General features: G+C 45.2%; 4 annotated features.

The window, feature by feature from the left end:
• Positions 782–831: a silencer, noted in NCBI's record as "silent region_11620". NCBI's record gives its function as "represses an Ori minimal core promoter by ATAC-STARR-seq in GM12878 lymphoblastoid cells {active_cell/tissue: GM12878}" and the evidence as "EXISTENCE:reporter gene assay evidence [ECO:0000049][PMID:35858748]".
• Positions 2,080–2,894: an enhancer, noted in NCBI's record as "H3K4me1 hESC enhancer chr2:71310886-71311700 (GRCh37/hg19 assembly coordinates)". NCBI's record gives its function as "activates a minimal SCP1, AML or CMV promoter by ChIP-STARR-seq in primed H9 embryonic stem cells {active_cell/tissue: H9 hESC(primed)}" and the evidence as "EXISTENCE:reporter gene assay evidence [ECO:0000049][PMID:30033119]".
• Positions 8,880–9,469: an enhancer, noted in NCBI's record as "NANOG hESC enhancer chr2:71317686-71318275 (GRCh37/hg19 assembly coordinates)". NCBI's record gives its function as "activates a minimal SCP1, AML or CMV promoter by ChIP-STARR-seq in naive H9 embryonic stem cells {active_cell/tissue: H9 hESC(naive)}" and the evidence as "EXISTENCE:reporter gene assay evidence [ECO:0000049][PMID:30033119]".
• Positions 21,374–22,184: an enhancer, noted in NCBI's record as "OCT4-NANOG-H3K27ac-H3K4me1 hESC enhancer chr2:71330180-71330990 (GRCh37/hg19 assembly coordinates)". NCBI's record gives its function as "activates a minimal SCP1, AML or CMV promoter by ChIP-STARR-seq in naive H9 embryonic stem cells {active_cell/tissue: H9 hESC(naive)}" and the evidence as "EXISTENCE:reporter gene assay evidence [ECO:0000049][PMID:30033119]".

A 22,639-nucleotide genomic window follows, 5' to 3' on the forward strand; every position in this document is an offset into this window, starting at 1 on the left:
TCTAAGCATTAAAAGTAAGTACACCAAGGCCAGGCGTGGTGGCTCATGCCTGTAATCCCAACACTTTGGAAGGCTGAGGCAGGCAGATCACGAGGTCAAGAGATCGAGACCATCCTGGCCCACATGGTGAAACTCCATCTCTACTAAAAATACAAAAATTAGCTGGGCGTGGTGGGGCGCACCTGTAGTCCCAGCTACTCGGCAGGCTGAGGCAGGAGAATCACTTGAACCCAAGAGGCGGAGGTTGCAGTGAGCCGAGATCACGCCACTGCACTCCAACCGGGTGACAAAGCAAGACTCCGTCTCAAAAAAATAAATAAGTACACCAGGCCGGGCACAGTGGCTCAAGCCTGTAATCCCAGCACTTTTGGGAGGGTGAGGTGGGTGGATTGCTTGAGTTCAGGAGTTCAAGACCAGCCTGACCAACATGGTGAAACCCTGTCTCTACTAAAAGTAGAAAAATTAGGTGGGCATGCTAGCAGGTGAGGCATGAGAATGGCTTGAATCCAGGAGGCAGAGGTTGCAGTGAGCCAAGATTACACCATTGCACTCCAGCCTGGGTGACAGAGTGAGACTCCATCTCAAAAAAAAAAAAAAGAATATATCATCCACCTCTTCAGGGAAGTTACATTCTAATAAACCCTATTTACACAAAACTACATGTAACTATAGGATTTTAAAATGCTGTAAATAGGCAAGTCAGCTCAGGATCCACCAAGCCCCCCGCCCCGCCCCCTTCCATTTTTAGGAAGGAGGCAAAGAAATGATAGGGCTCAGAGCAAAACCCATGGGTCCTGGGCTGGTCCCATATCGTCTTTTATCATATGATAAAGCCCCTCAACAAATCACTGGGAGATCTGAGTGAGGTTTCAGTTTAAATAGGCATTGCCAAACCATAATCACAACAGCAGGGACTGTGGCTGCTTGGTAACCCCCGTAACCCTTGTGCCTAAGACAATGCTTGACATATAGCAGGATGTGAAACTTGTTCAATAGTTGAAAGGCAGATATGGAATACTTGTTTTCTAGGTAGTAAGAGCCCCAGTTTTGCCCAGAAACAGGAAAACAAATGCCTAGTTTCCCTTCTAGCTCAAAGATGCCACTGCCTCTTTGTTCAGAGCTGTACATATCATTGCCACTATTGGCTACCATGTATTAAGTGCCTATTATGTGCCAGGCAGCATTTTAAAATTCTGTCATTATAGTTCCAGGGGAGAGGTGCTGCACCTTTACAAATAAAGAGGTTATTTGTAAATAAAATGCAGGCCAATGGCACAAAGTAGTGAAGGTGGAATTCACTCAGGTCTGTCACTTCCAGCCCATGTTTTACTACTTTGTAACCCTATTTGGAAAGAAAACCGCAACTAAGATTATGACCCATCCTGACACAAAAAGTTTCACACATATACACCACACATACCGCACACCCCTGCCCCCCACAGTATGATGGCACAGTGACCCAACCTTAGGCAAAAGGGTACCACTGCCAACAAATGCACTTAACATTTTATTGAGATTCTCAACAGCTGCCATTTGGTTTGTATAGCAAATTTTTTACAAAGTAATTTTTTTCCATTTTCGATATTTTTATGAAAATTATTTTCTTCAGTTTTAAAGCCCTGTCCCTCCCCCAAAGAAGGATTAATAACTACCAAGTAATGATTAGGGGAAAAAAAGCAAAAACAGCTTTATAAACACTTGTGAAACAGGGGTAAGTGTCCGAAGTCAAGACCTTCTGGGCCCAGTGGAGGTGCTGGGCTGCTCCGGGACACCATCACCACTTCACCATCCACAACATCCTCAAGAGCTGAGCAGCCCTGCACAGACCCTGGGGGGCTTCCTGTTCCACAAGCTCCACTCCCTTTTTCCTCTCCATCTTTGCTGTTGGGCCTCCCCTCCAAATCTGCCTAACAAAGGCAGCACGATCTTTAATGCCTGTGCAGCTTTGTAAGTGGAGCCAGGTTACTCTGTTTTGAAAGCTGAGATTCCCTGTCCAGTCTGGGGGAGGAAAAATTATCCAATGTAGCATGGATGGTTTCACTTTCTTGTCCACTCAGACACATGCTCATACTTATTAAATGGATTTATTGGATGCTTCAAAAGTCCTGATGTGTAGTAGCACAAAAGTTCCTTGTAAAAAAAGAAGTTGCAAAATTATAAAAATTTCTGCAGCAGTTCTGGCTCTGGATGACAAAGCTCATTCTGATTAGTAGTTTTTTTGACATGCACAGCAGCTTCCCCTATAAGTCCTACGTTCGGAGGGTTCCGTTTAGACAACAGGAAGTTGGAATCCAAGTTTAAAAGGCTCTCTGCTGACAAAATGTGGTACATCCATCAACAGAATTCTACTCAGCAATAAAAGGAACAAACTACCAAGACGTTATCTGTCATGGACAAACCTCAAAAACATTAGCTAAGTAAAAAAGCCAGACACGGCTGGGCGCAGTGGTTTACGTCTGTAATCCTAGCACTTTTGGAAGCCGAAGCGGGCAGATCACCTGAGGTCAGGTGTTCAAGACCACCCTGGCGAACATGGTGAAAGCCCATCTCTACTAAAATACAAAAATTAGCTGGGCATGATGGCGGGTGCCTGTAATCCCAGCTACTCGGGAGGCTGAGCCAGGAGAATCGCTTGAACCACGGAGATGGTGGATGCAGTGAGCCGAGGTCACACCACTGCACTGGGCAGCTGAGCGAGATTCTGTCTAAAAAAAAAAAAAAAAAACCAGACACAAGACCACATATTGTATGATTTCATTGATTCAAAGTGTCCAGAAAATGCAAATTTATATAGAGAGAAAGTAGATTGTTGGTTGCCTGGAGCTGGGGTAAGAACAGGATTAACTGTGAAAGAGCATGAAGGATCTTATCAGGAGGGATAAAATTGTTCCAAAACTGAGTAATAGTTATGGCTACATCACTGAGGGAAGTTACTAAAATCACTGAATTTTATACTTGAAATGGGTGAGTTTTATGATATGTAACACATGCCTCATTAAAGTTTTTTGTTTTTGTTTTTGTTTTTTGGTTTGTTTTGTTTTGTTTTAAGTGAGGCAGGAAAATAGGGTCTGGAGGCAGGGAACATAAGGCCAATTCACACTTCAGCTGCGACAGGAAAGATCCTCTCCATAGGGCATAGACCAAGTAAATGACTTTGTAACTTTACTTCATCCTCCCATTTACATAGGGCTTACCCCAAGTAACCAATGGGATCCTCTAGAGGGTATTTAAACTCCCCAAAATTCTGTAACTATGCTTGGGCCCACTCCCACACTGTGGAGTGTACTTTCTTTTTCAGTAAATCCCTTCCTTCCTTGCTTTGTTTGTGCATTTTGTCCAATTCTTTGTTCCAGATGCCAAGAACCTGGACACCCTCCCCCAATAACAAAAGGACTCCCGCCTCCCAAACCATCCATCAAGCATTAAACATTTTTGAAGGCTCACAATCAACAGGATAGAATAATTACTTAGTGATGATTTCCAAAGTGAAATATTTTACTGTTTTATAGTAAGCACATTTTAGTATCTGTACACCAGTAAAATGTTAAGATTTTATCTCATTTTTGTCATATTAGCCTAAAATATTTATTATTTTTATATAAAAGATAGTCAATAGGAAGGTAGGATTGGGGAGAAAACTTAGCAAATGTCACAAAGGAGACTCCTAGTAACAAAATCTGCGGGAGCCTTTTCTTTTAAAATAAAGATGGTGCATCTGTCCCTTTACAGATTTCTCTCCTGTCCCCTGGGACTGGGGAAGGTGAATCTCCTGCCTGACACCCTGTAGAGATTAGTGTATCCAGCTGTTCTATTCCCATGATTCCTCTGAAAACCAGACTGACTGGGAATAGCAGTAGGGGTTTGGCCAGTGAGGGCAGGTGGCCAAATGGTGTGCAGGAAACTCGCATGTTTCCCTGGGTTGGCTTCCTGCTCCCCTGTCCCTGTCACCAATAGCAGCTTCAATATGGGAGACGATTAAAACAAAGGAGAAAAACAAAAAACCGTATCCAAATTATAACCAACCAAGTCTATGGAGGAAATTCACAAGGCAGCAGAGCAGAGGCTGCAGAGGTGCTCTGTCTACCGGGAGAACTAATGATCCCTGTGAGCAATGCAGGGTGCAATGAGTCACATGGGGAAATGTGGACAGAGGCAGAAGGACATCAAGGCCCCCACTGCACACCAAATTAGAGTCAATCCTCCTGTTCTCCCCACCCACTTCGCAAACTAATGACGTCCGCGTTATCCCAGAGGAGAGTGGCTAGGGACACTCAGTCCTTCCCAACATGTGGACATCTCCAAATCTTGGTCAAATCTGTCAGATTTCTAACAGTTTCAATACCTCAATATCACCTAAACTGAGAAAGATTATTAGCCCGTGATGGTGGGACCCTTATTGACGAAGGCCTGCCCCCTCCTCACAGTAGGGTAGACTCCTGGGTTCCCGATGGTTCAAGAGCCTGGGCTGTCATTTGTCTACCTGGGGTTTGCAGCAGCCCTAGTACAAGAAGATTCATTCGTACTGTTTACTTTGGCAGCCTCTTCACACAACTTTCCTCTCTAACACGTGTTAATTGTCAGAGTGTTCACCTCACCTCCTTACTTCCCAGCTTCTCCAAAGTCAAGGCAATAGCAATAAACAATTTGGAAAATGTTGCTTAGTATTTTAAGCCATGGTTAGTTTCATGCGCGTCCGTGTGAAGAGACCACCAAACAGGCTTTGTGTGAGCAACACGTCTCTTTATTTCACCTGGGTGCAGGCGGGCTGAGTCCGAAAAGAGTCAGCGAAGGGAGATAAGGGTGGGGCCGTTTTATAGGATTTGGGTAGGTAAGGGAAAATTACACTCAAAGGGGGTTTGTTCTCTGGCGGGCAGGAGTGGGGGTCGCAAGGTGCTCAGTGGGGGTGCTTTTTGAGCCAGGATGAGCCAGGAAAAGGACTTTCACAATGTAATGTCATCACTTAAGGCAAGGACCGGCCATTTACACTTCTTTTGTGGTGGAATGTCATCAGTTAAGGTGGGGCAGGGCATATTCACTTCATTTGTGATTCTTCAGTTACTTCAGGCCATCTGGGTGTATACGTGCGAGTCACAGGGGATGCAATGGCTTGGCTTGGGCTCAGAGGCCTGACATTCCTGCCTTCTTATATTAATAAGAAAAATAAAACAAAATAGTGTTGAAGTGTCGGGGCAGCAAAAATTTTTGGGGGGTGATAAGGACAGACAATGGGCAATGTTTCTCAGGGCTGCTTCAAGCGGGATTAGGGGCGGCGTGGGAACCTAGAGTGGGAGAGATTAAGCTGAAGGGAGGTCTTGTGGTAAGGGGTGATATTGTGGGGATGTTAGAAGAAACTTCTGTCATATAGAATATTGGTTGGCCTGGATACGGTTTTGGATGAATTGAGAAACTAAATAGAATAACAGAAGGAGAAAAACAGGTATAAAAGGACTAAGAATTGGGAGGACCTAGGACATCTAATTAGAGAGTGCCTAAGGAGATTCAGCATAGTCCTGCCAGCAAAGATTATTTATTTACTTCAAGAGTTTAGAGTGGCAGTTTGGGGATAGCACCAGGAGATATCAGCTGTGATGGCTTGGAGAAACAGTGTAAACCAGCAGTGTAAACAAGAGCAGGGCATGTATGAGTAGTTTAGAATGGTGAATAGGAGTATGACTAACGGATGAGGATGAAATTTGGGCTTGACTGAAGTAATGGGGGCTGTCTGTGAAGCCTTGCGGCAGTACAGCCCGGGTAATGTGCTGAGCCTAATGGGTGTCAGGGTCAGTCTAAGTGAAGGCAAAGAGAGGCTGGGACGAAGGGTGCAAAGGAATAGTAAAGAAAGCATGTTTGAGATCCAGAACAGAATAACAGGTAGTAGAGGGAGGTATTGAGGATAGGAGAGTATATGGGTTTGGCACCACGGGGTGGATAGGCAGAACAATTTGGTTGATAAGGCGCAGATTCTGAACTAACTTGTAAGCCTTGTCTGGTTTTAGGACAGGTGAAATGAGGGAATGGTAAGGAGAGTTTATAGGCTTTAAAAGGCCAAGCTGTAGCAGGCAAGTGATAACAGGCTTTAATCCTTTCAAAGCATGCTGTGGGATGGGATATTGGCATTGAGCGGGGTAAGGGTGATTAGGTTTTAATGAGATGGTAAGGGGAGCATGATCGGTCGCCAAGGAGGGAGTAGAGGTATCTTATACTTGTGGGTTAAGATGGGGGAATACAAGAGGAGGACGCAAAGGAGGCTTTGGATTGGGAAGAAGGGCATCAGTGAGATGCGGCTATGGTCCAGGAATAGTCAGGGAAGCAGATAATTAGGTTAAAATGTCTCAGCCTAATAAGGGAACTGGGCAGGTGGGGATAACTAAAAAGGAGTGCTTAAAAGAGTATTGTCTAAGTTGGCACCAGAGTTGGGGAGTTTTAAGATGTTTAGAAGCCTGGCCGTCAATACCCACAACAGTTATGGAGGCAAAGGAAACAGGCCCTTGAAAAGAAGGTAATGTGGAGTGGGTAGCCTCCGTATTGATTAAGAAGGGGACAGACTTACCTTCCACTGTGAGAGTTACCCGAAGCTTGTCGTCCGTGATGGTCTAGGGGGCTTCCGAGGCGATCGGGCAGCGTCAGTCTTCAGCCGCTAAGCCAAGAAGATCTGGGAAGGAGTCAGAGAGCCTTGGGCCAGAGTTCCAGGGACTCTGGGAGTGGCTGCCAGGTGAGTTGGACAGTCCGATTTCCAGTGGGGTCCCGCACAGATGGGACACGGCTTAGGAACAATCCTGGGCTGCAGGCATTCCTTGGCCTGGTGGCCACATTTCTGGCACTTGCAGCAAACTCCTGGGGGAGAAGGTTCTGGAGGAACGCCTGGCCACTGCGGTTCAGGCATTTGGAAGTTCTTGTGTGCTGGAGATGTGGCTGGGATTTGTCTCACAGTGGAGGCAAGGAATTGCAACTTTTTTCTATTATTGTACGCCTTGAAGGCAAGGTTAATTAAATCCTGTTGTGGAGTTTGAGGGCCGGAATTTAATTTTTGGAGTTTTATTTAATGTCAGGAGCATATTGGGTAATAAAATGTATATTGAGAATAAGATGGCCTTTTGACCTTTTAGGGTCTAGGGCTGTAAAGCGTCTCAGGGTTGCTGTCAAACGAGCCATGAACTGGGCTGGATTTTTATATTTGATGAAAAAGACCCTAAACGCTATCTGATTTGGGATAAAGAAAAAGGAGCATTAACCTTGATTATGCCTTTGGCTCCAGCCACCTTTTTAAGAGTAAATTGCTGGGCAGGTGGGGGAGGGCTAGTCACGGAACGAAACTGTAAGCCCGACCAGGTGTGAGAAGGGGAGGTGATAAAAGGATTATAGGGTGGAGGAGCAGAGGCTGAGGAAGAATTGGGACCTAGCTCGGCCTGGCGAGGAGGGGAGAGGTCAGATGGGTCTGTAGAAAAGGAAGATTAGAAAGACTCAGCGACGCTTGGGGTTGGTACTGAGGGGACAGGCGGGAGGGAAAGAGGGAAGATTTGGGATGAGTTGCACTGGGCACAGAGACTAGGAAGGGACTGATGTGTAAAAGAATGCCTGGACGTCAGGCACCTCAGACCGTTTGCCTATTTTACGACAAGAATTATTTAGATCTTGCAGGATGGAAAAATTCAAAGTGCCATTTTCTGGCTATTTGGAACTACTGTCGAGTTTGTATTGGGGTCAAGCGGCATTGCAGAAGAAAATAAGGTTTTAGGTCAGGTGAGAATTGAAGAGGTTTTAAGTTCTTAAGAATACAGGCTAAGGGAGAAGAAGGAGGAATGGAAGGTGGAAGCTTGCCCACAGTGAAGGAGGCAAGCCCAGAGAAAAGAGTAGAGTCACGGAGAAGGGGTGGGGGTTTCTTGCCCTCCAGAAAAGCAGAGAAAGTGTTGGGGTACGGAAATAAGGGATTGGGGCGCAGAGATAAGAGGTTGGGGCGCAGAAATAAGGGATTGGGGCGCAGAGATAAGAGGTTGGGGCATGGAAATAAGCGATTGGGGTGCAGAGATAAGAGGTTGGGGCGCAGAGATAAGAGGTTGGGGCGTGGAAATAAGCGATTGGGGGGTTCTTGCCCCCTAGGAAAGCGGGACTTGCCGCTAAGGGCGAAGGAGAAGAGGTTGAGGGGTACTTGCCCCTGCCCCAGGAAAGCGGGACTTGCCGCTAAGGGTGAAGGAGAAGGGGTTGAGGGGTACTTGCCCCTGCCCCAGGAAAGCGGGACTTGCCGCTAAGGGCGAAGGAGAAGAGGTTGAGGGGTACTTGCCCCTGCCCCAGGAAAGCAGAGAAGGGGTAGAGACAAGGAGAGAAGAGGTTGAGGGGTACTTGCCCCTCTCCCAGAAAAGCAGAGAAGGGGTAGAGACATGGAGAGAAGGGGTTGAGGTACTTGCCCCTTCCCCAGAAAAGCGGGACTTGCCGCTAAGGATGAAGGACCAAGGCAGGCGTCCCTGCGTGGTCTGACACCCTTGAAACGTGGCTGAATGATCAGAGAGGCGTCCCTGCAATGATTAAACACCAGGGGAAGGCTGCCTTCCCAATCCGTGACCGGCGCCGGAGTTTTGGGTCCACGAATAAAACGTGTTTCCTTTGTCTCTCCCAGAAAATGAAAGGAATTGAAATTAAAAGAAGGGAGAGATTGAAGAGTGGAAAGGACAAAGTGGTTGAGGGACAGTGAGAGAGGTTGGAGAAGAGAGTAAGATGAGGCCACTTACCGAATTTGAAATTGGTGAGATGTTCTTGGGCTGGTCGGTCTGAGGACCTGAGGTCGTATGTGGATCTTTCTCATGGAGCAAAGAGCAGGAGGATGGGGGATTGATCTCCCAAGGGAGGTCCCCTGTTCCGAGTCACGGCACCAAATTTCATGCGCGTCCGTGTGAAGAGACCACCAAACAGGCTTTGTGTGAGCAACATGGCTGTTTATTTCACCTGGGTGCAGGCGGGCTGAGTCCGAAAAGAGAGTCAGCGAAGGGAGATAAGGGTGGAGCCGTTTTATAGGATTTGGGTAGGTAAAGGAAAACTACACTCAAAGGGGGTTTGTTCTCTGGTGGGCAGGAGTGGGGGTCACAAGGTGCTCAGTGGGGGTGTTTTTTGAGCCAGGATGAGCCAGGAAAAGGACTTTCACAAGGTAATGTCATCACTTAAGGCAAGGACTGGCCAATTACACTTCTTTTGTGGTGGCATGTCATCAGTTAAGTTGGGGCAGGGCATATTCACTTCTTTTGTGATTCTTCGGTTACTTCAGGCCATCTGGGCGTATACGTGCAAGTCACAGGGGATGCGATGGCTTGGCTTGGGCTCAGAGGCCTGTCAGTTAGCATTATAACCTTAATTAAAGAGACCCCAGGCTGAGGTGGCCCACCACACCCAGCCTATAATCCCAGCAATTTGGGAGGCTGAGGTGAGAGGATCACTTGAGCACAAGAATTTATGAACAGCCTGGGAAACACAGCAAGATCCAGTCTCTACAAGAAATTTAAATTTAAAAAAAAATTAGCTCTGCCTGATGGTGCATACCTGTTGTTCCAGCTACTCAGGAGGCTGGGCTAAAAGGATAGCTTGAGCCCAGGAAGATTGATGGAGTCTTCATGAATGAGATCAGTTTTCCTATAAAAGAAGCCTCAGAGAGCTGCCTTGCCCCTTCCACCATATGAGGATGCAGGGAGAAGCTACTATCCAAGGAGAAAGCACCAGCTAGAAGGAAGCTAACCTTCACCAAACACCAAATCGGCCCAGCCTCCAGAACTGAGAAATTTGTTTTTTTATAAGGTACCCAGTTTATGGTATTTTGTTTGGGCAGCCTAAATGGGCCAATGCAGTGGGTAAAATTTATGACATTGTGTCCAGAATTGGTGGGTTCTTGGTCTCACTGACTTCAAGAATGAAGCCGCGGACCCTCACGGTGAGTGTTACAGCTCTTAAGGTGGCGCGTCTGGAGTTTATTCCTTCCAATGTTCGGATGTGTTTGGAGTTTCTTCCTTCTGGTGGGTTCTTGGTCTTGCTGGCTCAGGAGTGAAGCTGCAGACCTTTGCGGTGAGTGTTACAGCTCTTAAGGCCGCGCGTCTGGAGTTGTTCGTTCCTCCCCCTGGGCTCGTGGCCTGGCTGGCTTCAGGAGTGAAGCTCCAGACCTTCGCAGTGAGTGTTACAGCTCATAAAAGTAGTGTGGACCCAAACAGTGAGCAGTAGCAAGATTTATTGCAAAGAGGCAGTGTGGAAGGGGACCCCAGCGGGTTGCCACTGCTGGTTCCGGCAGCCTGCTTTTATTCTCTTATCTGGCCCCACCCACATCCTGCTGATTGGTAGAGCCGAGTGGTCTGTTTTGACAGGCGCTGATTGGTGCGTTTACAATCCCCGAGCTAGACACAAAGGTTCTCCACCTCCCCACTAGATTAGCTAGATACAGCACGTCAACACAAAGGTTCTCCAAGTCCCCACCAGAGTAGCTAGATACAGAGTGTCGATTGGTGCATTCAGAAATCCTGGGCTAGACACAGGGTGCTGATTGGTGTGCTTACAAACCTTGAGCTAGATACAGAGTGCCGATTGGTGTATTTACAATCCCTGAGCTAGACATAAAGGTTCTCCAAGGCCCCACCAGAGTAGCTAGATACAGAGTGTCGACTGGTGCATTCACAAACCCTGAGCTAGACACAGGGTGCTGATTGGTGTATTTACAATCCCTGAGCTAGACATAAAGGTTCTCCACGTCCCCGCCAGACTCAGGAGCCCAGCTGGCTTCACCCACTGGATCCTGCATGGGGGCTGCAGGTGGAGCTGCCTGCCAGTCCCACGCCGTGTGCACGCACTCCTCAGCCCTTGGCTGGTCGATGGGACTGGGCGCCGTGGAGCAGGGGGCGGCGCTCATGGGGGAGGCTCGGGCCGCACAGGAGCCCATGGAGTGGGTGGGAGGCTCAGGCATGACAGGCTGCAGGTCCCGAGCCGTGCCCCACGGGAAGGCAGCTAAGGCCGGGCGAGAAATCGAGCACAGCGCCAGTGGGCTGGCACTGCTGGGGGACCCAGTACACCCTCTGCAGCCACTGGCCCGGGTGCTAAGCCACTCACTGCCCAGGCCGGCAGGGCCAGCCGGTTGCTCCGAGTGTGGGGCCCGCCAAGCCCACGCCTACCCGGAACTCCAGCTGGCCCGCAAGCGCGGCGCACAGCCCTGGTTCCTGCTGGCACCTCTCCCTCCACACCTCCCTGCAAGCTGAGGGAGCCGGCTCCGGCCTTGGCCAGCCCAGAAAGGGGCTCCCACAGTGCAGCGGTGGGCCGAAGGGCTCCTCAAGTGCTGCCAAAGTGGGAGCCCAGGCAGAGGAGGCGCCAAGAACGAGCGAGGGCTGTGAGGACTGCCAGCACGCTGTCACCTTTCAACATGATGGCTATGGGTCATTGGGAACAGTGAGGCAAGTTTCTTGAACAGCTTTGGCAAGCAAGTTGTAAGTCTTGAGAAATAAACTATTTTAGTTGGTTCACTCCCAGAGCAAGTGTTTCCTGGAGTAAGTACTAAGTTCTTTTTTCCTGATTCCAGTAATGTGTAGTACAAGGACAGGAAGGTATTTTGGTATCAGTTATCCCAGCTGAGTGCAGAGGACCACACTCAACCATACTGGAGCAGGTCAAAGGGCTTTAGGAGGCACATGTTAAAGATGGTGAAATTGGGGCTGGGCGTGGTGGCCCACACCTGTAATCCTACCACTTTGGGAGGCTGAGGCAGGCAGATCACAATGCCAGGAGTTCAAGACCAGCCTGGCCAACATGGCGAAAACTCGTCTCTACTAAAAATACAAAAATTAGCCGGGCATGGTGACACACGCCTGCAATCCCAGCTACTTGGGAGGCTGAGGCACAAGAATCGTTTGAGCCCAGGGGATGGAGGTTGCAGTGAGCCAAGATCGTGTCACTGCACTCCAGCCTGGCAACGGAGCCAGCCTCTGTTTTTTTTTTTATAAAAAGAAGATGAAATTGATAGCATCATTTAAGAAACAGTACCTCTTGAGATAGGGTAAAACAATTGAGAGTTTGGGGTACATATATAACTAATCAAGTAAACAAACAAAAACCAAACTTATTTACTCCCACCCTCCCCCCAGCCACAAATAAATTATTTGCAGGGAAGGAAATCATAGTATACTACATGACCCTGCTGTAATCATACATGGTAATAATAACAGAGTATAATAATAAAAACACCTAATATACATCTAACCAAAATTATTATGTTTGGAAGATGGAAAGAAGGGAATGGGTTGTGTGTGTGAGAGATAACACACCAGGAGAAAAGAAGTTATTGAAAGAGAGACAAATGTTATCTTCCACAGTGGGGAGTCAATAGAAAATACAAGGAACCAAAAAAATCAAGAAATAGTAATAGAAGCATGTTATTTAGTGATATGAAGGTAATTCTTTTCTTATTTTTTTTTTTGTTGAGACAGAGTCTCACTCTGTCTCACTCCAGGCTGGAGTGCAGTGGCATGATCTCAGCTCACTGCAACCTCCACCTCCTGGGTTCAAGCAATTCTCCTGCCTCAGCCTCCTGAGTAGCTGGGATTACAGGCATGTGCCACCACACCTGGCTAATTTTTTTTTTTTTTTTTTTTTTTAGTAGAGGCAGGGTTTCACCACATTGGTCAGAATGGACTCAAACTCCTGACCTTGTGATCCACCCACCTTGGCCTCCCAAAGTGCTGGAATTGCAGGTGTGAGCCAGTGCACCCAGCTGAAGGTAAATATTAATACTTAAAAAAGCAGTTAAAATATTTTAAAGGGATTGTGTCTGGAGAGGGCAGAATGGGAGAAGGGGGGAGTAGGCAGTGGTACTCAAAGATTGCCTTTTTTCCATTAAAAGTCTGGAGAAGTGTTTTATTTAAATTATGTGCCTACAAACTTTAATACAATTTTTTTAAAAAAATTTAAACCTGAAAGACAAAAAAATCGTCATTTGTAGTCTCAAGCTGAGATTTGGGACCAGGACTATGAGAAATAAATTTGTGTTTTTTATAAGGTACCCAGTTTATGGTATTTTGTTGTAGCAGTCTGAATGAACTAAGGCAGTGGGCAAAATTTGTGACATAAAGGCCTTGGATCACGGGTCACAGTGAAGCAAGCTGTGGTCTAATTATTTTGACCCACTTTAGCACATCTTTTGTTACAAACAAACTTTCTTAGACAAACTGATGTTGAGCACACATCAAAGTTTATTAGCTTTTTAGCAAGGGAATCTGAAAAGAGTGCCTGGTGCCAGGTCTGAGAGGGCATGGAAACTGGAGGGCCATATATTTGGGGAAGAGAATGCTTACATAAGCAGCCAATTTTTAAAATTAAGCAACTTATTAGATTAAAAGTGCAGTTTCATTTCATATGGTCATAAAAACACTATGTTTGTAGAAAGGAAATCGGGAGCAAAAAGCCCAAGAAAGAAAAGCAGATGATAAGGAAACACCAGTGTTCATTAAGTGAATAACCAGGGTTTGGTCCCCTGATGATTCAATTCACATGGAAGCATGATTGGTCCCCAAACAGCTCAGAAGCAGAGTGTGGAGGAGGCCTGTCTTTGCACAGTGAATGCACATGTTGCAAATGAAGTTGAAGAGTCAAACCATTTGTCCGTTCTCTAATCTTGGGACAAATATTTTTGATACTTCACACAAAAGTAGAACCAGACAACTAGTAACAGTAAAAATCATTTTGGGTTTCCAGTTTCTAGAGTGATAAAACTATAAAACAAAGACTGGGCACGGTGGCTCATGCCTGGAATCCCAGCACTAGGCCGAGGTGGGCAGATCATTTGAGGTCAGGTGTTCAAGACCAGCCTGGCCAACATGGTGAAACCCCGTCTCTACAAAAAATATAAAAATTAGCCAGGCGTGGTGGTGGGCGCCTGTAATCCCAGCTACTCGGGAGGCTGAGGCAGGGAGAATTGCTTGAACCTGGGAGGCAGAGATTACAGTGAGCCGAGATCCTGCCACTGCACTCCAGCCTGGGTGAGAGAGTGAGACTCCATCTCAAAAACAAACAAAAAACAAATGAATGACAATCCTCAATAATCAGATTAGTATTTTAACAATTCCATCTTGCAGTGTGCTGTGGAGATGTCTCTTAATGGGGAATTTGTATGTAACCCCAATTCATGCTGAATGTAATGGATTATGTAGATAAAGTATCTGATTTTTCCTGATACATTCCTGAATTTTATTTGCTATGTTTTTAAATTTTATTTTTCCTTTTTTTCCTATGCATACCCATTTATTTTCTATTTTTAAATTTAGGATGTATGCATTTAAAAATATTTTTGTCAGGTTTTGACTTGAAGTTCTAGGGCAGCATAAAATGAACTGGGAGAGCTTTGAACCCCGTTCTATTTTCCCGGAATTGTTTAAATACCATATGAATTATCTGTTCTTTAAAGCCTATGTAAAATTCAGTCATGGACTTACTATTCTATAACTGAATTTTACATACATAACAGAATTTTACATTCCATAACTGTTCCTGGTGACTTTTCAATGGCAGAATTTTAATCACAATTTCAGTCTCTTCTGTTGAAACTGATCTATTCATGTTTTCAACTTCTTCAGATAACTTTCATAATTCATACTGTGCTAGGAAATAATCTATTTCTTTTGGATTTTCAAATATATTGCTATGGAGTAACATGTACTATTGTACAATTATTTTATTTTATTTTACTTTATTTTATTTGAGACACAGTCTCACTTGTCACCCAGGTTGGAGTGCAGTGGGGTAATCATGGTTCACTGCAGCCTTGACTTGCAGTGGCACGATCACAGCTCACTACAGCCTCGACCTCCGTGGCACAAGTGATCCTGCCAACTCGGCCTCCCAAGTAGCTGGGACTACAGGTGTGCACCACCATGCCCGACTAATTTTTCTATTTTTTGTAGAGATAGAGTTTCACCATGTTGCCTAGGCTGGCCTCAAACTTCTGAGCTCAAGCAATGCACCTGCCCTGGCCTCCCAAAGTGCTGGGATTACAAGCATAAACCACCATGCCTGGCCAGTTTGTACAATTAGTTTATAATCCTCCCTAGATTTTTATTATGTCTTCTTTCTCATTCCTATTAACCTATATTTTTGTATTGTCTATTCCTAAAGATGGGCACGTATCTTATTTTTAAGCATCTTTAATTACTAAGATGTTTAGGTTTATAATATTTATTGTATTGTACATTAAACGTTCCCTGTGTCCCATAGATTTTGGCATGTAATGTCTAACCTTTCATTGTTTCTAGACAGCTTATAATTTTCCATTGCAGGATCCAACTAAAACAGTACTTAGAGCAAAATTTACAATGCTGGGTGCCTATAAAAGAAAAGAAGAAAGGTCTCAAATCACTTACTTCAACTTCCACCTTTAAAAACCAGAAAAAGAAGAGCATGGCTAGGCACAGCGGCTCATGCCTGTAATCCCAGCACTTTGGGAGGACGAGGCAGATGGATCACTTGAGGTCAGGAGTTGGAGACCAGCCTGGCCAACATGGTGAAATCCTGTCTCTACTAAAAATACAAAAGTTAGCCAGGCATGATGTCGCCCTGTAGTCCCAGCTACTCAGGAGGCTGAGGCATGAGAATCGCTTGAACCCAGAAGGTAGAAGTTGCAGTGAGCCAAGATCCCACCACTGCACTCCAGCCTGGGCAGCAGAGAAAGACTCTGTCGAAAAGAAAAGAAAAGAAGGAAGGAAAAATAAAGGAAGGAAGGAAAGAAGGAAGGAAGGAAGGGAGGGGGGGAGGAATAGAAAAAGAAGAGCAAATTAAACCCAAGGTAAGACGAGAGAAGGAAATAATGAAGATCAGAGTGAAAGTCAGTACAATAGAAAACAGAAAAATAATAGAGACAATCAATGAAATCAAAGTCTCGTACTTTGAGATCAATATAATTGATAAACCACTCATCAGACATTATCACACAGTTATTGAGAAGTTTCTGTGAGTCTAGAATCTGAATGTGACCTCAAGGTGTGCAGTCAAGGTGTCAGCTGAAGGCTCAACTAAGAGAGAATGTACTTTTTTTTCTTTTTTTTTTTTTTTTGAGACTGAGTCTCACTGTATTGCCCAGGCTGGAGTGTGGTGGCACAATCTCCGCTCACTGCAACCTCTGCCTCCTGGGATTGATTCCCCATCTCAATGAATGATTCCCCATCTCAGCCTCCTGAGTAGCTGGGATTACAGGCGTGTGCCACCATACCCAGCTAATTTTTGTATTTTTAGTAGAGACGGGTTTTCATCATGTTGGCCAGGTTGGTCTCGAACTCCTGACCTCATGTGATCCACCAGCCTCGGCCTCCCAAAGTGCTGGCATTACAGGCGTGAGCCACCGCACCCAGCCTGAGAGAGAATGTACTTCTAAGCTCATGGGGTTGTTGGCAGGACTCAGTTATTCCCAGGCAATTGGACTGAAGGCCTGAGCTCCTCACTGTGGGCTGGAAACCTCCCTCAGTTCTTGGCCACACGCACCTCTCCATGGGGCAGTCCACAACATGTCAGCTGGCTAGAGCAAGCCAGCAAGTGTGGGAGTGGAACAACACCAGCAAGACAGAAGCCAGAGTCTTTATGCAACCAAATCTCAGCAGTAATATCTCATCGCCAGTGTCACATTCTGTTGGTTAACTGGATGATCAAAATAAGACTTTCATGCATAAAAAATATATAAAATTTGTAAAGTTATGTGGGAGAGTTGGAATGGAAGTTAAATTTCAATAGGTAAAATGCACAAGGTACAATTTCTGACCCTTAATGAAGAGCTTGTTTATGGTATTTTATTTTATTATTTATTTATTTATTTATTTATGAGACAGAGTCTCACTCTGCCGCCCAGGCTGTAGTGCAGTGGCGTGATCTCCGGCTCACTGCAACCTCCACCTCCCAGGCTCAAGTGATTCTTTTGCCTCAGCCTCCTGAATAGCTGGGATTACAGGCGCCCGCCACTACCCTTGGCTAATTTTTATATTTTTAGTAGAGATGGGCCTATGGTAATTTGTAAGTGGATAATGGAGGGTTTCAAATTGCTATTGTATTAATATTCTACTATACATGTAAAAAGACTGATGAGACAGTTTTGTTTTAAAATGTCAGTGTTTACAGTACCCCAGAAATTATATACTTCATAATTATTTGAACTTGTGATAAAACAATTTTTTGTCACATTTGTTAAAATGAGAAAGGAGGCACACAATTTTTTCCTAGTAATTTTATGAGGTGTGCAAGTCTATAACTTTGAAGCCACTGCTCCAAACCACCATGCCATGTTGCCTGGTTGTCTTGAAGGGTATGGCCGGGCTGTTGTCTACACAACAAACATCTTAACTTCCTAAAATAGTCCTTGGCCCATCTGCTCCCCAAAGTTTGCACAGCAGTTACTCCAGCGTCTCTCTCATTGGGCCCCTCGTTGTGACTCCTGCACACAGTGTTCCTCTCTTGTTCTCCAGCTCAGCGGCCCCTGCACTCTGCTCCTGACTTCTGTCCCTCAGGGCGCCCCTGAGAGGCAGGGCCTGGTGTCCCATTCTGACAGCTTCTCTCCCGCGGGAGTAGCCCCTGAAGTCCTGCACAATGACATTTCTCATTTTATTTCATGTGGATTGGGGAGTCTTGATGCCTCATAGAATTGCTATTTACTGGACTGCAGAGTATGCCATTAGTCTGCACAAAGAGACATTACAAGAAAGAAAACACTATTTGAAATGTGTTCCTTATTTATCATAGGGGTGCTGTGGAGAACACTTTTTTTTTTTTTTTTTTTTTTTTTTTGAGACAGTCTCACTCTGTTGCCCAGGCCAGAGTGCAGTGGCACAATCTTGGCTCACTGCAACCTCCACCTCCTGGATTCCAATGATTCTCCTGCCTCCGCACCCAGCTGTTGAGAACATTTTCTATAAGCTCAAATTGTCTTCTTTATGGGAACCTGAGGAAAATACTCTCTCAGCTCTACTGGGTAGAGTTGGCTTGTCTTAGACAACAAGCTAACTTTTATCTTTAGGAACCCATTAAATTTGGAATTAATTGTGCTCCTGTATCTGGCTACTAAGATCAGAGACAAATGTATGGCTGTCCTTTGGAAATTGCACAGGCACTGATAAAGTATGTTACTTGACTATCATACCCTAAATTTCTATTTACTGTGACATCTAAAATCTATTTAATTGTTGCATTGTATGTATCTTTGTAATGTACATACATACATAGTGTTGCCCTCAAATGACGAAATGTTGTATAAAATGCATTCAGAGCCAAAAGCGAGTGAAATGTTGAACTGCATTTTCCATTGTCTTCTGCTGCAGTTCATATTAAGCTGTGTTGCAGAAATGAGTACTGACTGAGAAGCCCAGCACTTTAACTGCCAAGAGTCTTGGAAGCGACATTTACTTTGGTCTGTCTCCCAACCTGCTAGCTCAAAAGACAGATTTGGGCATAGCCTGACTGATTTTGTCTTATGGGGTAGATTCACATTAACCAAACTCATTAGAGATGGATATATAAGCCAGAATTTCATATTATGAGTTTATAATGAAAGATGTATCTGTCAAGTAAACCTCAAATGCTGGCACTGACATGTTTGATGAAGATGGAATGATAACAAAGGGAGTTAATATCATGCCCAACAACAGGAATACAAAAACCCCAGGGCCCAGGACACACACATGGGATGGTGTGCTCAGGGATGGTGGTTAGAAAGGTCCTGCCAACCTCCAGCTCTCTGGGCATCTCTCTTCTGGCTCCCAGTGGATTGACCTTAATATGTCCCTTTAGTCTCATTCCAAAAGATTAAATTTTTAGTTGATAAATTATGTCTACATTGCTGTCTTCCACTTTGAGCCTCAGTCTCTATTCTCATCACCTTAACAGGAGTTTGGGGATAATGACTTAGTCAAACATTTGAAAACAATCTCTTGGTTTATTCCCTGAAAAGGATCACCAATCACTTCCATTCCTTGTAGCTGTTCCATGTGTACCCGGCAGAGGGCGACCCTACTTCCCTCATCCCCAGGTTCTCAGGAGGCACTTCTTGGAACCTCAGCAAAAACATGGCAGCCGTCTTCCCTTACTAAAACTATTTCTTGTTGTTTATAAAAATCTAGAATAAATTTGGCTTTTAAATAACTAAGGTTTAAATTAAAACTGAGAGGTAGCTTTCTGAATACAATATGCATTTTAAAATAAAATATATGTCCAATGGGTGAAAGGCACAGCACTAACAGCTATTCTGGCTTAAAACTCAGCAGATTCATATGATCTATACTAGCACACCTATAGTGCTGGTAATCTGTGTCACATTTATAGGTCACCTTGAGACACAGAAACCTGTTGTTTCTGTAACCTCCAGGTGAATATGGTTGTCTGACTGAAGAGGACATATAAATTCATAAAGCTCTCAGTTCATCTTGATAATTTTATAGCTGCTTCAACATTTCTGAGACAGGTAACTTGGAATACATTTTGGCAGAGATATAGGAAAAAAAGTTTACTCTCTTACCCCAGACTCCAAGGATACTTTTCAAGACTAGATCTCTTTCATTAAAATGTTACTTCTGGAGGCCATGGAGGGTGGATAACTGTGCCCGCCACCATGCCCAGCTAATTTTTTTGGATTTTTAGTAGAGAAGGGGTTTCACCGTGTTAGCCAGGATGATCTCGATTTCTTGACCTCGTGATCCGCCCGCCTAGGCCTCCAAAAGTGCTGGGATTATAGGCGTGAGCCACTGCGCCCGAGTTAGTCAGCCATGAGTACTTGGTCTTCTGTTCTGTATTTGATACTAATTAGAGCTTCCTCACGTAATTTTGAGGGTTTTTGTCTCATTTTTATGGTCAACTGTACTTTATTGGAATGCTTTCAGTTTCAAGTTACCAAAACCTCAACTCGAACTGACTTCAAAAAATAAAGAAATTAGCCCATATAAAAAGCAGTTCAGAGAGGGTGATTTCAGGACTGAATAATCCAGCAGATTAAAATGCCATTGAAATCCTGATCTAACATGTAAGGACTTCAAAGATGCCATTCCATCCTAGTACGTCAAAAGCTGGACAAACTGAAAAATAAACAACTCTTCTCAGGTCTGTCAGGGAAGTGAGGTCACAGGGCAAACTGTTGCCCCCAGACAGAGAAACAGACAGCTGGACACAGAGAACCACAATTTACTGGGGAGGAAACTCACAAGCAGAAAGCTTTGTGGGAACCATTCCAGGGCAGGAAAGCTGCCCTGTAATTGACAAATCGTTTGTGGTTCTGTATGGACAAGTCTATGAGTTAAAAACTCCAACATGACTCAGTCATAGCCCCCACCCCCACTGCTCTCTTGTGACTTTTTCCTCTGGGACCTCTACCAGGTTCTTCCAGTGCATAGCAGAAAAATCCCTTCTGGCTTCCAGCAGAAAGAGTGGGAAGTAACCATTTAAAAAAATATACCAGAGCATTCTGTTCTTTTTTTTTACTTTGAGACAGAGTTTTGCTGTGTCGCCCAAGCTGGAGTGCGGTGGCACAATCTCAGCTCATTGCTACCTCCGCCTCTTGGGTTCAAGCGATTCTCCTCCCTCAGCCTCCTGAGTAGCTGGGACTACAGGCACGTGCCACCACATCTGGCTAATTTTTGTATTTTTAGTAGAGACGGGGTTTCGCAATGTTGGTCAGGCTGGTCTTGAGCTTCTGACCTCGTGATCCGCCCGCCTCGGCCTCCCAAAGTGCTGGGATTACAGGTGTGAGCCACCGCGACTGGCATTCTGTTCTTTCTTAAAAGGCCTGTCCTCAAGATAAACTAGTTTACCAGAGCCTAACCTATTGGTGTTTTATCTGGGTCTAACTTACCTAGGGGAAGGGATACCCAACTTCAGCCCCCCATCCCACCTAAGGTGGGGAAAAACTGACAGGCACTTCAAAATTTATAGCTTAGGTACACAGGGTCACTAAAAGACTGACTTAATCGTAGGACTATGACCCATCAAGCACATACAAACACATTAGTAATAAAGACCTATTTACCAGAGTTCCTTTTCACCCAGCCCATTATGTCCAATTCTCAATAAAAAATTACAATGCACACTAAAAGGCAAAAAACACAGTTTGAAGAGACAGAGCAAGCATGGAACCAGACTTAGACATGCAAAGGATGTTGGAATGATCAGACTGGGAATTTAAAACAACTTTAATTGCTTAATTAAATTAATATGCTAAGGGCTCTAATGAAAAAATTGGACAAACTGCAAGAACAGATAGATAATGTAAGCAGAGAGATATAAATTCTAAGAAAGAATGAAAAAGAAATGCTAGGTATCTGCTATGGTTTGGGTATTTGTCTCCTCCAAATCTCAAGTTGAAATGTGACCCCCAGTTGTTGGAGGTGGGCCTGGTGGGAGGTATACGGATCCTGGGGGTGGGTGCCTCATGAATGGCGTAGCACCATCCCCTTGGTGATGAGTGAGTTCATGAGAGATCTCATTGTTTAAATGTGTGTGGCACCGCCCTCCTTGCTTTCTTGCTCCTGCTCTTACCACGTGACATTCCTGCTCCAACTTCACCTTCTGCCAAGTGTAAAACTTTCCTGAGGCCCTCACCAGAAGCCAAGCAGATGCCAGCACCACACTTCCTGTAAAGGCTACAGAACTATGAGCTAATTAACTCTCTTTTCTTTATAAATTACTCAGCCTGAGGTATTCTTTATAGTAATGCAAAGACAGCCTAACACACAATCAAAACTGCTATAAACAACAATGAAGAATGCCTTTGATGAGCTCAAGGTGATAGTGACAGCAGGCAGCCAAATTCCTGGGCAGATAGGGGTGGATCTCCAGTGAAACCCCACCTCCAAGCTGAAGACAGTTGAAAGCCTGAAAGCCAAGCTACAGGTTAAATCCTCGGAACGGATTGAGAAATCATCTTCCTGTTTGGCATGCTTTCCTCTGATTGGGCCCCACCCTTCACCTATTTTACATATACCTATCCTTTTCTAATAGGTTTTCTACACTGTCATGCCCACCTTTGAGTGGAGGCTTCACTTTAACCTTTCTTGCATACACACAAACCAATCAGCATCCACCCCCCTTCCTGTGCCTATAAAGACCCCAGACTCAGTTGGAAGAGGAGGAGATGGCCTGACTTTGGGGAAAAGATGACTTAACTCCAGGGAAGACGACCTGCCCTTCCCATCTCCTCTCCAGCTCCCCTCTCTATTGAGAGCAGTTTTCATCACTCAATAAAATTCTCTGCCTTCACCTTCCTTCATTTGCATGATCTCATTCTTTTTGGAAACCAGACAAATGCTCAGGACCCATGGAATTCAAGTCCCCAGAAAGGCTGTCACATCAGCCCTTTGTGCTTGTCAGTGCAGGGCAGCCACCCCACACAACAAGGCAAGGGGCCAACTGAGCTGCTAATACACCACCGTCCGCAGTGCAGAACTAAAGGAGCACTGTAACACTTCCTTGGGACTTCAGGAAGGAAGGTTGTGGGCACCCTCACCTGGGTGCCACCATGTTCCCCTCAAGGCGACACGCCTGGTCTGTGCAGGCCCTGCACAGAGATTGCTCCTGTGTCAGTGCCTGAAGCAGCCAGCCAGAGCCTGCACTCACTCTCTCATGTTCTCCCTCCCACAAGGGGTTGAGCATGGTGGGCGGAGTAGATGGGCACCCCTTC

Source organism: Homo sapiens, chromosome 2 (assembly GCF_000001405.40).
Source record: "Homo sapiens chromosome 2, GRCh38.p14 Primary Assembly".
NCBI lineage: Eukaryota > Metazoa > Chordata > Mammalia > Primates > Hominidae > Homo > Homo sapiens.